Source organism: Homo sapiens, chromosome Y (genome assembly GCF_000001405.40).
Source record: "Homo sapiens chromosome Y, GRCh38.p14 Primary Assembly".
Lineage (NCBI taxonomy): Eukaryota > Metazoa > Chordata > Mammalia > Primates > Hominidae > Homo > Homo sapiens.
In genome coordinates this window covers 9,841,423-9,857,297 of record NC_000024.10, presented here as the reverse complement: position 1 = coordinate 9,857,297, position 15,875 = coordinate 9,841,423, and positions in this window count along the sequence as shown.

The following is a 15,875-nucleotide window of genomic DNA, read 5'->3' as shown; positions in this document are numbered from 1 at the left end:
ATTCATTTGAGTCTGGAACAGGTATCTTATCACTATATTGTCTTCAGGGTGGGTCCAGGGATGAATTTCAGAGTAAGTCCATGGTCTGATTGTAGCACGTACATGCTGAGTCCAGGAATAATTTATGCTAACTTGATTCTGGATCTAGGAGTGTGTCATTTGAGATCCAAGTTGGGTCCAGGGCCAAACAGAAGCGTTATGAGTTGGGGACCAACATGTCACCATACCTACCTCATGCCACATCCTAATTGCTTGAGATTCAGGCTCAGTCCATTGCTCTATTTTATCAGTTGCAGAATGTGTCTCGTGTCTGACTGTATTGGTTTCAGCATAGATCCAAGGTTTCAGAACATCACCTTCAGACTGGGTCCAGGGTATGACTGCATTCTTTTCAGATTGGTTCAATGGGCGGATTATTTGCCATTCTGGCTTCATCCAGGTAGTAACTCTTTGAGAAGAAAGTTGAGTACCACTTCTTCTTACATTGTTTTGGGTCTGAAACCAAGCACTCAGAGTATTAATGTCAGGCATGGTCAAGCATTTTGCTGCCTGCATTTCAGCCAGATATAATAGTGTGTCAGACAATGATTGTATTAATGTTGCCTTGAGTCCAGGGGTGGATTGTGCCTGCTTCAGACCGGATCCATAGTTTTACTGTATGAGCTTCAGAAATGGTCTGGGATCTCATTGTACCTACTTCAGATTGGGTACACAGGAAGAAGCCATCAATTTCAGACTGGATCCATGTTATAAATGTTGTAGTTCTCTGTTTGGCCCAGGATTCTATTTTACCAGGTCCAAAGGGAGTAAACGTGCTCAATGTTTGAAATTCTGACTGAGCCCAAGGTTTTATTTTTTCTGTTCCAGTTTTAAACGAAGTTCTTTAACTTGAGCTTCAGGTTGGGACCATGGTTTTGCTGCTTGAGGCACAGCCAGTATCCAGGATATAAGTGTTCCAAACTCAGGCAAGGTCCATTCATCGATATTTTCAATTTCATGATGTGTCCATAAAATAGATGCTTGATTTTCATCTTGGATCAAAAGTTGCGTAGTATAAGGTTAAGGCAGCAAGGAAACTCTATAAATATTTTAGCTTCAGGCAGTGCCTAGAGTTTCTTAGCTTCAGTTTTAACCATCATCCAAAATGAGCCCATATCACTCTGTGTATAAGAATTTGCATCTGGAAAATCATCATGAGTCCACTTTGTGTCTGTGGAAGCTGTGGCCTCTGTCCATGTGTTTACCACTGGAGACTCAGACTGAGATCATGGGGTGATTGATTTGGACACAGGTAGTGTCCAGGTTTTTCCTGCTGAAGGGATACCCTGGGTCCATGGTAACACTGAGGAAACTGCAGCCCATGCAGTTTCTCAGCCCATGCATGCCTCTGGATTTTCTGCTGAAGTTTCATCATAGTTCCATGATATAAGTATATCAGATACAGTCTGTGTCCAGGTAATTCCTACTGGAGACTGGGCCAGAAGTCACAGTATAATTTTGTCAGATACTGGCTGTGTGGAGGTAATGACTGCAGAAGATTCAGCCTGCACCCACAGTGCAACTATATCAGATACAGAATGTATCCAGGGATTTGTTGCTAGAAGTAAAGCTTTGATCCATGGGGTGACTTGGTAGCTATTGCCTCTATCCATGGATTGACTGCTAGAGATACAGGCTGGGTCCACAGTGATAATGTATTAGATATAGGCAGTATCCAAGGATTTACTGCTGAAAATTCAAATTGGATCAATCCTATGTATGTCTCAGATACAGGCAGGATCCATGTAATTAATGCTGCAGATTCAGTTTGGGACCATAATCTGATTGTATTAGATGAAGGCTGTGCCCAGGCCTTTACTGTTGCAGATACAGCCTGTGCCCAAGTTGTAGCTGTATAAAAAACAGGCTGTGTCCAGGGATTTATTGCTGGAAATTCAGCCTGGGTCCAGGGTATAACTTTGGAAGCTACAGCCTCTGTCCAGATATTTACTGGTAGACATTCAGTTTGATGCCCTGCTTTAAGTGTACCATGTAAACTTTATGAAAAGAAGATTAATGATGGAGTTACAGGCTGTGTACACACTGTGAATGTATCAGCAACAGACTTGGTCCATGGATTTACTGCCAAAAATTCAGTCTGTGTCCATGGTATGACTGTGTCAGTCTCATCCTGTAACAGAGGACTTGGGACTGAACATTCAGACTCTGTCCAGATATTTACAATTAGAGACTTAGACTGCATCATGGGATTTACAGCTGGAAATTCAGCCTCATTCCAAGTGTTTACTTATAGATATTTTGTTTAGGTCCATAGTGTGACTGTATCAGGTACAGGTTGTAACCAGAAATTGATTGCTGGTGATTTTGTCTGTGTCCATGTTATGAATATATCAGCTAGAGCCTCTCTCCTGAGAATTATTATTAGAAATACATCCGTGTACTGCAGTGTGTCTATATGAGTTACAGCCAATGCTAAGTGACTTATTGCTGGCAACAGATCCTGGGTCCATGATGTGACTTTCTCAGTTTTAGACTGTCTCCATAGATTTACTACTACATAAACATTCTTAGCCAATGGTTTCACTCTATCAATAAGTATATGTACAGAGATTATTGATTTTAGAATGAGCCTGGGTCCACAGTAAGACAATTTCTGTTTCAAGCTTTGTGGAGGGATTTACTCCTACAGGTTCATCTTGGTTCTGTGGTATAACTGCAGCAGGTATAGGCTGTGTCCAGTCATTTACTTTTGGAGATTCAGTCTTGGTCTACTGTATGAAGGTATCAGTTTCATATTGTTTCCAGAGATTTATGGCAGGTAATTTGACTTGGTTCCAGAGTTTGATTGTATAAGCTATTGCCTGTGTCAAATGCTTTACTGCTGAAGATTCATCTTGGTCCCATGGTTTGATTCTATAAGATAGATACTGTGTAAAAGGATTCATTGCTGGAGAGTCATCCTGAATCCACAGTATAGTACTATCACCCAGAGACTGCCCAGGGATTTACAGCTGAAAATTCAGGCTTGGTCCACAGCTTGTCTGCATCAGCTGTTGTCTGTGTCCATGAATTTACTGCTAGAGAATTAACCAGGATCCACTCTGTGACTGTATACATTTCAGACTTTGTCCATGCATTTCCCTCTTTAAGTTCAGCCTAATTCCTTGGTAGGACCATATCAGCTGTAGCCTCTCTCCAGGCATTCATTGCTGGAGTTTCACCCAGAATCCATGTTTGAGTCCAAGATACTGGTGGATGTTCAGGGTGGGTCCATGATAGGAATATATCATGTGTCCAGGGACTTACTCCTAGAGTTTCAGCCAGAATCCATGTTGTGAGTATATCAGTTTCAGACTGTTTCCAATGATGTAATAATAGCGATTCAGCCTGGATACACATTATTATGACTGTATCAGATATAGGAGAATATATTCATGAATTCATCACTAGTGATTCATCATTGGTCCCTAGTGTGATTATATCAGTTACCTACTGTTTCCAGGAATGTATTGCTGGAACCTCAATCTGGGTTCACAGTGTTATTGCCTCAGTATCAAACTGTATCCAGTAATTTACTGCTGGCAAATAAGCCATGGTCCACAATGAGACTGGATTAAATTCAGATGGGAGTAAGTTATTTCCTTCTAGATATTCAGGCTGCAATTTTTCCATGGATTTATTGGTGGCATTTCATCAAGGGTCAATGGTATGACAGTTTCAGCTACAGTTTTTGCCCAGAGATTCACTGTTGTAAATCTATCCTGGATCCATGGTGTGACTGTCTTAGCTATACGAATATGTCAAGGGAAATAAGGCTGGAAATTCTTCTTGGTTCCAACATGTGACTTTATCAGATACAGAATGTGTCCAGAGATTCACTGCTGGAGATTTGGCAATAGTTCACAGTATGATTGGATCAGTTTCAGACTGTCTTCAGGATGTTAATTTTTGAAATTCAGCCTTTGTCCATGTTGTGACTGTATCTGCTAACATCTTGGTCCAAGAGTTTACTATTGGAGTTTCAGTCTGGGTCCACAGTGGGACTGTGTGAGTTTTAGATTGTGTCCAGGGATTTAATTCTTGAGACTCTCCCTGCATCCATTGTGTTAGTACGGTAGCTTTACTTTGTACCCAGGGGTCAATTACACCAATGTCTTTCTGATTCCAGGGTCTCAAAGTGTCATCTTCAGCTTGGGTCCACGATCTAACTTTAACACTTTCAAACTTGCCCCAGAGTCTAAATGCATAAGCTTCATGTTGTATCCAGTCTCTTAACTTATCAGTCACAGGTTGGTTCCAAAACCTCAATATTTCAGTTTCAGACTGTATCCAATGCTGATTTGTCAGAGTTACTGGTTCTCTCCACTGTGTGACTGTCTCTGCTTGAGATCAAAACAAAAGTTTGATGATATCAGCTTCAGTGTGATTTCGGGGTCTGGATCTATCACCTCCAGTTTGGGGCCTGGGTACCACTGTTTCCATCCCAGTTTGGGACCAGTACCTAACTGGATCTGCTTCTGGTTGGGTCCAGTGTTTTTCTTTCCATTCTTGAGTCTGGGTTCTGGGCCTCAGTATTTTAAATTTATGCTGAATCCAAGGTCTCATTGTTTCCATTTCAATTTGTAACTGTTGTTTAATTGTATCAGCTTTCAGGTGAGTCAAGAGTCTTCCTGATTGAGTTTCTGACTAGATTCACGTTAGGACTATGACTGTTTTAGGCTGACTTCAGGGTTTGATCATCTCAACTTTGGAGTGAATTGAGGGCTCAATTGCATTCATAATAGGATGTATTAAGATTCATGTCTGCATCAGGGGTTTCAGTAATAATAGCCACATGTTTACTCAATGGACTCAATCTATCTATTTGATTTGAGGGCCTCATTATACTGGTTTTCTGTTGTGTCCAAGCCCTAATATTGTCACCTTTTAACTTTGCACATGAAGAGTATGCAGTATAGAAGAAATCCAGAACTGAGTTGACTCAGGTTCAGTGAGAATCTAGTATCCATCTGTCCTTTCTATAATTTCTTGGGGATACAAATATATTCAACACTAGCTGACACCATGGTTCAAAGGTATGGGTTACTGTAGGATGCTGAGATCCATCTTCATTGAGTGATCAATGAGTCCATATTTCAATTTTATTAACTATGAAAAGTACTGGTGGAATCTAGTTGTAAGTTGCTGGTTTTGCACCAGGGTTAACTCTATGAGCTACATGATACTTTTGGTTTCTAGTACTCTCTTCACTGGATTTAATCTGCATCACTGTTCCTGTTTTATAAGCTAACAATTGTTTCTAAGTTTCAACTTCAGGAGTAATTTCTAGCCAAGGTTTAGCTACAAGTTGTCCATGAGATGGAACATTAATAAATTGAACTTGAGATTGACCAGTATCCATCTTAACAGGAACTTGAGATTCACCTATCCCACTTGAAAAGAGAAACCAGGATGTACCAGCATTAACTAATGGTAGAGTATGAAGCCTAATTGTACTAGCTAATGTATTAATCCAGAATCTTGCTGAATCAGTCACAGCTTAATATTTATAATCCATTGTATTTTTCTCAGGAAAATTCCAGGCTATAGGTTTAATATCTGTTTGGGAGTTCTGGAGTCCAGAAAAAAAAAGAAATATTGAGAAGTTTCCATTTCTGGGGTACTCCAGCATTCAGCTGTACCAGGATGATCCCGTGGTTTGGCAGCAGGAGAAATCCGGGATTGTACCATTGGGAATTTGCTAGCTGAGGAGAGGTGACCACTTTGAAAGTGTAATAGTCTATTGGCATGAAAAAATCTCTATTATTCTAACCAAAAAAAAAAAAAAACATTCAGTGGGGGTTCCGGTGCTTTCTGTACACTGGGGAAGTGCTTAATCTTCTCCTCCTTATTTGTTCTGAGAATCCATGAAAGATCAAATTGTCAGAGCCTGTATTAGAGGTAACTGTATTTTGTGGACTATCTTCTACTCCAGGAGAAAAATTGCAGGGTAGAGAAAAAAATACCCCCAGTGGTTTCTGGGATGCCTTGATAAGCCATCTCATTCAAGATATGTATTGGGCTGTCCTGATGACAAGAACGGGGTCATAACAGGCTTCTGAGGTATCACTAACCAGGCCTACTACTGAGGTATCACTGACCAGGCCTACTACTGAGGTATCACTGACCAGGCAGTGACTGCCAAAGAGGCAAAGAACAGGATGACCTTGCTGTACCTGAATGGTTGGAAACAAAGTTAACCATATATGTTAGAAATACACATAGATGTGTAGTATACATGTATTACAATATGTAATGCATAAATTACATATACATGCAATACATATATATTAATTATAAAATATACAGATACATATCTTGTATATGTTTATGAATACTTATATCAATAAATTATATAGTTTATATGGCTTATATATTAAATTAAAAGATACTAAACTATAAGTATAAATTTTACTTTTCTATCTCATGTACATTTCATATTACTTGATGGGCAGTAATAAATAATATATTGTACATACTTCAAGAGTTCCATATAACACTTAGGCATAAATAATTCTAACTGTGGTTAAAACAGTAAAATCAAGCACTAGAAGGAAATTAGAGGAAGGTTCTAAACAATACAAATTACCTACATACTCAACATCATTATCTGAATATTACTTATGCCTTTAGCCAAGCAGTCTTAGGCAAAGCACAACTTATACGATCATGTGAAATGACTGTTTGTGTCACCTCCTCTGCCATTACATTTGTTGATGCCATCATTATTTGTTTAGTCTCTCTGTTTAATTCTGATGCCCACTTGCAGCTTGCAGTTTGTTCTCCTAGTAGCCAGAATTATACTCAGAGTAAACACTTATTGTAAAATCGACTACATAGTTGGAAGTAAAACAATCCTCAGCAAATGCGAAAGGATAGAAATCATAACAAACAGTCTCTCAGGCCACAGTGCAATCAAACTAGAACTCAGTATTTAAAAATTCACTCAAAACTGCACAACTATGTGGAAACTGAACAAACTGCTCCTCAATGACTGCTGGGTACATAATGAAATGAAGGCAGAAATAAAGATGTTATTTGAAACCAATAAGGACAAAGACACAGCATACCAGAATCTCTGGGAAACATTTAAAGCAGTGTTTTGAGGGAAATATATAGCACTTTTAATGTCCAGAAGAGAAAGTAGGAAACATCTTAAATTGGCACACTAACATCAACATTAAAAGAACTAGAGAACAAGAAAAGCAAAAGCAACAAATTCAAAAGCTAGGAGAAGACAAAAATAAATAAGATCAGAACAGAACTGAAGGAAACAGAGACATGAAAACACTTCAAAAAAATCAATGAATCCAGGAGCTGGTTTTTTGAAAAGATCAACAAAATAGATAGACCACTAGCCAGACTAATGAAGAAAAGAGAGAAGAATCAGACGTAATAAAAAATGATAAAGGGGATATCACCATTGATCCCACAGAAATACAAACTACCATCAGAGAATACTGTAAACACCTCTATGCAAATAAACTAGAAAATTTAGAAGAAATGGATAAATTCCTGGATGCATACACCCTCCAAAATCTAAACCAGGAAGAAATCGAATCTCTGAATAGACCACTAACAAGTTCTGAAATTGAGGCAGTAATTAGGAGCCTATCAACAACAACAACAACAAAAGGTCGAAGAGTAGGTTGTTCACAGAAGAATTCTACCAGAGGCACAAAGAGGAGCTGGTACCATTCCTTCTGAAACTATTCCAAACAATAGAAAAACAGGAAATCCACCCTAACTCATTTTATGAGGCCAGAATCATCCTGATATCAACATCTGACAGAGACACAGCAAAATAAGAAAATTTCAGGCCAATGTCTCTGATGAACATTGATGCAAAAATCCTCAATGAAACACTGGCAAACCAAATCCAGCAGAATATCAAAAAGTGTATCCACCATGAAGAAGTCACGTTCATGCTTGGGATGCAAGGCTGATTCAACATGCACAAATCAATAAACCTAATCCATCACATAAAGAGAATCAATGACAAAAACCACATGATTATCTCAACAGATCCAGAAAAGCCCCTCGATAAAATTCAACATACTTCATGATAAAAACTGTCAGTGAACTAGGTATTGATGGAATGCATTTCAGAATAATAAAGCTACTCATGACAAAACCATAGCCAATATAATACTGAATGGCAGAACCTGGAAGCTTTCCATTTAAAAACCTGCCCAAGACAAGGTTACCCCCTCTCTCACCATTCCTATTCACCACAGTTTTGGAAGTTCTGACAAGGGCGATCAGACAAGAGAAAGAAAGTGTATTCAAAGAGAAAGAGAAGAAATCAAATTGTCTCTGTTTGCAGATCACAAGATTGTATATTTAGAAAATTGCACTGTCTCACCTCAAAATCTCCTTAAGCTTATAAGCAACTTCAGGAAAGTCTCAAGATACAAAATCAATGTGCATACATCACAAGCATTCCTATACTCCAATAGCAGACAAGCAGAGAGCCAAATCACAGTCATCTCACACACACAGTTGTTACTAAGAGAATAAAATACCTAGGAAAGTAACTCACAAGGGATGTGAAGGACCTTTTCAAGGAGAACTACAATCCACAGCTCAAGGTATAAGAGAGGACACAAATACGTGGAAAAGCATTCCATGCTCATTATAGGAAGAATCAATATCATGAAAATGGCCCTACAGTGCAAAGTAATTTATAGATTCAATGCTATCACCATAAAGTTGCCATCTGACAAGGGATAACATATTAATCTGACAACAGACCAATATCCACAATCTACAAAGAACTTAAACAAATTTACAAGAAAAAAACTAAACCAACCCATCAAAAACTGAGTGAAGGGTATGAAGAGATACTTCCCAAAAGAGGACATTTATGCAGTCAACAAACATGAAAAAAGTTCATCATCCCTGGTCATTAGAGAAACGCAAATCAAAACCACAATGAGATACTATCTCATGACAGTTAGAATGGCTATCATTAAAAAGTCAGGAAACAACAGATGCTGGAGAGGATGTGGATAAGTAGGAACGCTGTTACACTGTTGGTGGGAGTGTAACTTAGTTCAACCACTGTGGAATACAGTCTGGTGACTCCTCAAGGCTCTAAAACTAGAAATACCATTTGACCCAGCAATGTCATTATGGGTTATGTACTCAAAGGATTATAAATAATTCTACTATAAAGACACGTGCACACTTACGTTTATTGACACATTGTTCACAATAGCAAAGACATGGAACCAACTCAAATGTCCATCAATGATAGATTGGATAAAGAAAATGTGGCACATATACACCATGGAATACTAAGCAGCCATAAAATAAGATTAGTTTATGTCATTTGCACGGACATGGGTGAAGCTAGAAAGCACCATTCTCAGGAAACTAACACCAGCACCGGAAGCCAATCACCACATATTCTCACTCATAAGTTGCAGTTGAACAATGAGAACACATGGACACAGGGAGGGGAATATCATACACCAGGGCCTGCCAGGGGTGGAGGGCTAGAGGAGGTATAGCAGTAGGAGAAATACCTAATGTGTGTGACAAGTTGATGGGTGCAGCAAACCACCATGGCAGGTTTATACCAGTGTAACAAAACCGCACGTTCGATACATGTACCCCAGAACTTAAAGTATATAAAAAATACATATAGACATATACTATACATGAATTAAAATATATATAATGCATACATTTCATCTATATGCAATTCATATATATTATAAAGTATACAGATACATATATATGTTTTGGAACACTTATATTTATAAATTAGCTATATAACAAGGGGTTTATACATACATTATAAAATATTAACTTAAACATATAAATTATACTTTTCTATCACATGCAAATTTTATATTACTGGATGGACAGTAAGAAATTTTACATGGTACATACCTAATGAGTTCCATATAACACTTAGGCATAAATAATTGAAACTCTGGTTAAAAGAGTAAAACCAAATACTAGAGGGAATTTAGAGGAAAGTTGTAACAATAAAAAATCACCTACATATTCAACATCATTATCTGACTATTACTTATGCCCTCAGCCAAGTATACGGTTTATACAGTCACATGAAACGACTGTGTGTATCACCTCCTCTGCCATTACATTTGTTGAAGCATCATCATTTGTTTGGTCTCTCTGCTTGATTCGGACACTCACGTGTAGCTTAGTTTGTTCTCCCAGTAGCCGGAATTATACTCAGAATAAAATCAAAAGGATTTGTCTTTGATCTCACTTAAGAGTTTTCCTTAGTTCATCTTGCCACATGATGGCAGTATGACTATTTGCTTAATTCTAGTTTCAGAATTATTTCAATGGTTATTTTCTCTGCCTGGAATTCTCTTCCTCCAAATATATTCCTAGATTACTTCCTCAACGGTTTAGTCCTTGCTCAAGTAAAGCATTTTTAAAGACAAAGTGACTTCAAAACACTTCTTCCAACATTTTCCTGTCACCTAATTAACTATGAACTGTAGTTGATGTAAAAATGTTTGTAAATGTGCTTATGTTAAATGTGCCAATGTTATTGATGGTACCCTTAGTACTTTTAGTCTTTGGATCGAAAAGCAATAAAAGTAGAATAAGCCAAAAAACCGTCTTTTCAAAGTGGTGGTAGGCGGAGACCACCACCTTCTTCAAGAAACAGAAGCCCGTCAGCAAATCTGAGATCTGCAAGAGGAAGTAGTGGAGGAAAAAGAGCGTGGCTGCCCTCACATGAAGAACACTTGGGTAATGTTTTAAAATATAAAGGTGGAACCATGGGACTGAAAGAAAACAAGTTTGAAGGTATCAAAATTTCTCAATTTTATTTATTATCTTTATGAGCAGAATATTAATTATTGATAAGCACAATTATCTCTAATTACTAAAGGTGTATTATAAGAATGATTGAATTAATATCTAAAATTCATTTTAAAATTGTAACAACTTTGCATTGAAATAACACAGATTTCTTTTATTATTATTATTATACTTAAAGTTTTAGGGTACATGTGCACAATGTGCAGGTTAGTTACATATGTATACATGTGCCATGCTGGTGTGCTGCACCCATTAACTCATCATTTAGCATTAGGTATATCTCCTAATGCTATCCCTACCTCCTCCACCCACCCCACAACAGTCCCCAGAGTGTAATGTTCCCCTTCCTGTGTCCATGTGTTCTCATTGTTCAATTCCCAGTTATGAGTGAGAACATGTGGTGTTTGGTTTTTTGTCCTTGTGATAGTTTACTGAGAATGATGATTTCCAGTTTCACCCATGTCCCTACAAAGGACATGAACTCATCATTTTTTGTGGCTGCATAGTATTCCATGGTGTATATGTGCCACATTTTCTTAATCCAGTCTATCATTGTAGGACATTTGGCTTGGTTACAAGTCTTTGCTATTGTGAGTAGTGCCACAATAAACATATGTGTCCATGTGTCTTTATAGCAGCATGATTTATAGTCATTTGGGTATATACCCAGTAATGGGATGGCTGGGTCAAATGGTATTTCTAGATCTAGATCCTTGAGGAATCACCACACCGACTTCCACAATGGTTGAACTAGTTTACAGTCCCACCAACAGTGTAAAAGTGTTCCTATTTCTCCACATCCTCTCCAGCACCTGTTGTTTCCTGACTTTTTAATGATTGCCATTCTAACTGGTGTGAGATGGTATCTCATTGTGGTTTTGATTTGCATTTCTCTGATGGCCAGTGATGATGATCATTTTTTCATGTGTCCTTTGGCTGCATAAATGTCTTCTTTTGAGAAGTGTCTGTTCATATCCTTTGCCCACTTGTTGATGGGGTTGTTTGTTTTTTTCTTGTAAATTTGTTTGAGTTCATTGTAGATTCTGGATATTAGCCCTTTGTCAGATGAGTAGGTTGCAAAAATTTTCTCCCATTCTGTAGGTTGCTCTCCACTCTGATGGTAGTTTCTTTTGGTGTGCAGAAGCTCTTTAGTTTAATTAGATCCCATTTGTCAATTTTGGCTTTTGTTGCCACTGCTTTTGGTGTTTTAGACATGAAGTCCTTGCCCATGCCAATGTCCTTAATGGGATTTCCTCGGTTCTCTTCTAGAGCTTTTATGGTTTTACATTTAACATGTAAGTCTTTAATCCATCTTGAATTAACTTTTGTATAAGGTGTAAGGGAGGGATCCAATTTCAGCTTTCTACATATGGCTAGCCAGTTTTCCCAGCACCATTTATTAAATAGGGAATCCTTTCCCCATTGCTTGTTTTTCTCAGGTTTGTCAAAATTCAGATAGTTGTAGATATGTGGCATTATTTCTGAGGGCTCTGTTCTGTTCCATTGATCTATATCTCTGTTTTGGTACGAGTAGCATGCTGTTTTGGTTACTGTAGCCTTGTAGTATAGTTTGAAGTCAGGTAGTGTGATGCCTCCAGCTTTGTTCTTTTGGCTTAGGATTGACTTGGAGATGCAGGCTCTCTTTTGGTTCCATATGAACTTTAAAGTAGTTCTTTCCTATTCTGTGAAAAAAGTCATTGGTAGCTTGATGGGGATGGCATTGAATCTATAAATTACCTTGGGCATTATGACCATTTTCATGATATTGATTCTTCCTACCCATGAGCATGGAATGTTCTTCCATTTGTTTCTATCCTCTTTTATTTCATTGAGCAGTGGTTTGTAGTTCTCCTTGAAGAGGTCCTTCACGTCCCTTGTAAGTTGAATTCCTAAGTATTTTATTCTCTTTGAAGCAATTGTGAATGGGAGTTCACTCATGATTTCGCTCTCTGTCTGTTATTGGTGTATAAGACTGCTTGTGATTTTTGTACATTGATTTTGTATCCTGAGACTTTGCTGAAATTGCTTATCAGCTTAAGGAGATTTTGGGGGGAGACAATGGGGTTTTCTAGATACACAATCATGTCATCTGCAAACAGGGACAATTTGACTTCCTCTTTTCCTAATTGAATACCGTTTATTTCCTTCTCCTGCCTAATTGCCCTGGCCAGTACTTCCAACACTATGTTGAATAGGAGTGGTGAGAGAGGACATCCCTGTCTTGTGCATGTTTTCAAAGGGAATGCTTCCAGTTTTTGCCCATTCAGTATGATATTGGCTGTGGGTTTGTCATAGATAACTCTTATTATTTTGAGATATATCCCATCAGTACCTAATTTATTGAGAGTTTTTAGCATGAAGGGTTGTTGAATTTTGTCAAAGGCCTTTTCTGCATCTATTGAGAAAATCATGTGTTTTTGTCTTTGGTTCTGTTTATATGCTGGATTACATTTATTGATTTGCATATATTGAACCAGCCTTGCATCCCAGGAATGAAGCCCACTTGATCATGGTGGATAAGCTTTTTGATGTGCTGCTGGATTCAGTTTGCCAGTATTTTATTGAGGATTTTTGCATCAATGTTCATCAAGGATATTGGTCTAAAATTCTCTTTTTTGGCTGTGTCTCTGCCGGCTTTCGTATCCGGATGATGCTTGCCTCATAAAATGAGTTAGGGAGGATTCCCTCTTTTTCTATTGATTGGAATAGTTTCAGAAGGAATGGTACCAGTTTCTTGTTGTACTTCTGGTAGAATTCGGCTGTGAATCCACCTGGTCCTGGACTCTTTTTGGTTGGTAAGCTATTGATTATTGCCACAATTTCAGATCCTGTTATTGGTCTATTCAGAGATTCAACTTCTCGCTGGTTTAGTCTTGGGAGAGTGTATATGTCGAGGAATTTTTCCATTTCTTCTAGATTTTCTAGTTTATTTTTGTAGAGGTGTTTATAGTATTCTCTGATGGTAGTTTGTATTTCTATGGGATCAGTGGTGATATCCCCTTTATCATTTTTTATTGCATCTATTTGATTCTTCTCTTTTTTTCCTTTATTAGTCTTGCTAGTGGTCTGTCAATTTTGTTGATCCTTTCAAAAAATGAGCTCCTGGATTCATGCAGTTTAGAGAAAAAAGAATAAAAAGAAATGAACAAAGCCTCCAAGAAATATGAGACTATGTGAAAAGACCAAGTCTGCATCTGACTGGTGTACCTAAAAGTGACGGGGAGAATGGAACCAAGTTGGAAAACACTCTGCAGGATATTATCCAGGAGAACTTCTCCATTTTAGCAAGGCAGGCCAACATTCAGATTCAGGAAATACAGAGAATGCCACAAAGATACTCCTCAAGAAGAGCAACTCCAAGACACATAATTGTCAGATTCACCAAAGTTGAAATGAAGGAAAAAATGTTAAGGGCAGCCAGAGAGAAAGGACAGGTTACCCACAAAGGGAAGCCATCAGACTAACAGTGGATCTCTCCTCAGAAACTCTACAAGTCAGAAGAGAGGGGGAGCCAATATTCAACATTCTTAAAGAAAATAATTTTCAACCCAGAATTTCATATTCAGCCAAACTAAGCTTCCTAAGTGAAGGGGAAATAAAACACTTTACACACAAGCAAATGCTCAGAGATTTTGTCACCACCAGGCCTGCCCTAAAAGAGATCCTGAAGGAAGCACTAAATGTGGAAAGGAACAACCAGTAGCAGCCACTGCAAAATCATACCAAATTGTAAAGACCATTGAGGCTAGGAAGAAACTGCATCAACTAACGAGTGAAATAACCAGCTAACATCGTAATGACAGGATCAAATTCATACATAACAATATTAACTTTAAATGTAAATGGACTAAATGCTCTAATTAAAAGACACAGACTGGCAAATTGGATGAAGAGTCAAGACCCATCAGTGTGCTGTATTCAGGAAACCCATCTCACCTGCAGAGACACACATAGGCTCAAAATAAAAGGATGGAGGAAGAGCTACCAAGCAAATGGAAAATAAAAAAAAGGCAGAGGTTGCAATCCTAGTCTCTGATCAAACAGACATTAAACCAACAAAGATCAAAAGAGACAAAGAAGGCCATTATATAATGGTAAAGGGAGCAACTCAACAAGAAGAGCCAACTATCCTAAATATATATGCACCCAATACAGGAGCACCCAGATTCATAAAGCAAGTCCTGAGTGACCTACAAAGAGACTTAGACTCCCACACAATAATAATGGGACACTTTAACACCCCACTGTCAACATTAGACAGATCAACAAGACAGAAAGTTAAAAAGGATACCCAGGAATTCAACTCAGCTCTGCACTAAGCAGACCTAATAGACATCTAAAGAACTCTCCACCCCAAGTCAACAGAATATACTTTTTTTTCAGCACCACACCACACCTATTCCAAAATTGACCACATAGTTGGAAGTAAAGCTCTCCTCAGCAAATGTAAAAGAACAGAAATTATAACAAACTGTCTCTCAGACCACAGTGCAATCAAACTAGAAATCATGATTAAGAAACTCACTCGAAACCGCTCAACTACATGGAAACTGAACAACCTGCTCCTGAATGACTACTGGATACATAACGAAATGAAGGCAGAAATAAAGATGTTCTTTGAAACCAACAAGAACAAAGACACAACATACCAGAATCTCTGGGACACATTCAAAGCACTGTGTAGAGGGAAATTTATAGCACTAAATGCCCACAAGAGAAAGCAGGAAAGATGCAAAATTGACACCCTAACATCACAATTAAAATAACTAGAAAAGCAAGAGCAAACACATTCGAAAGCTATCAGAAGGCAAGAAATAACTAAAATCAGAGCAGAACTGAAGGAAATAGAGACAGAAAATCCCTTCAAGAAATAACACAGATTTCAAACTGAATTGATTTTATGAATGCTGATTGCCTGTACTCAACTGGTTTTCTGCATAACTCATTTATATTTATTATACTTTAGAGTTTTCTACTCCAGGGCCCAGAAATTCAAATCAGTTTTATTATCAAAATACAATGGA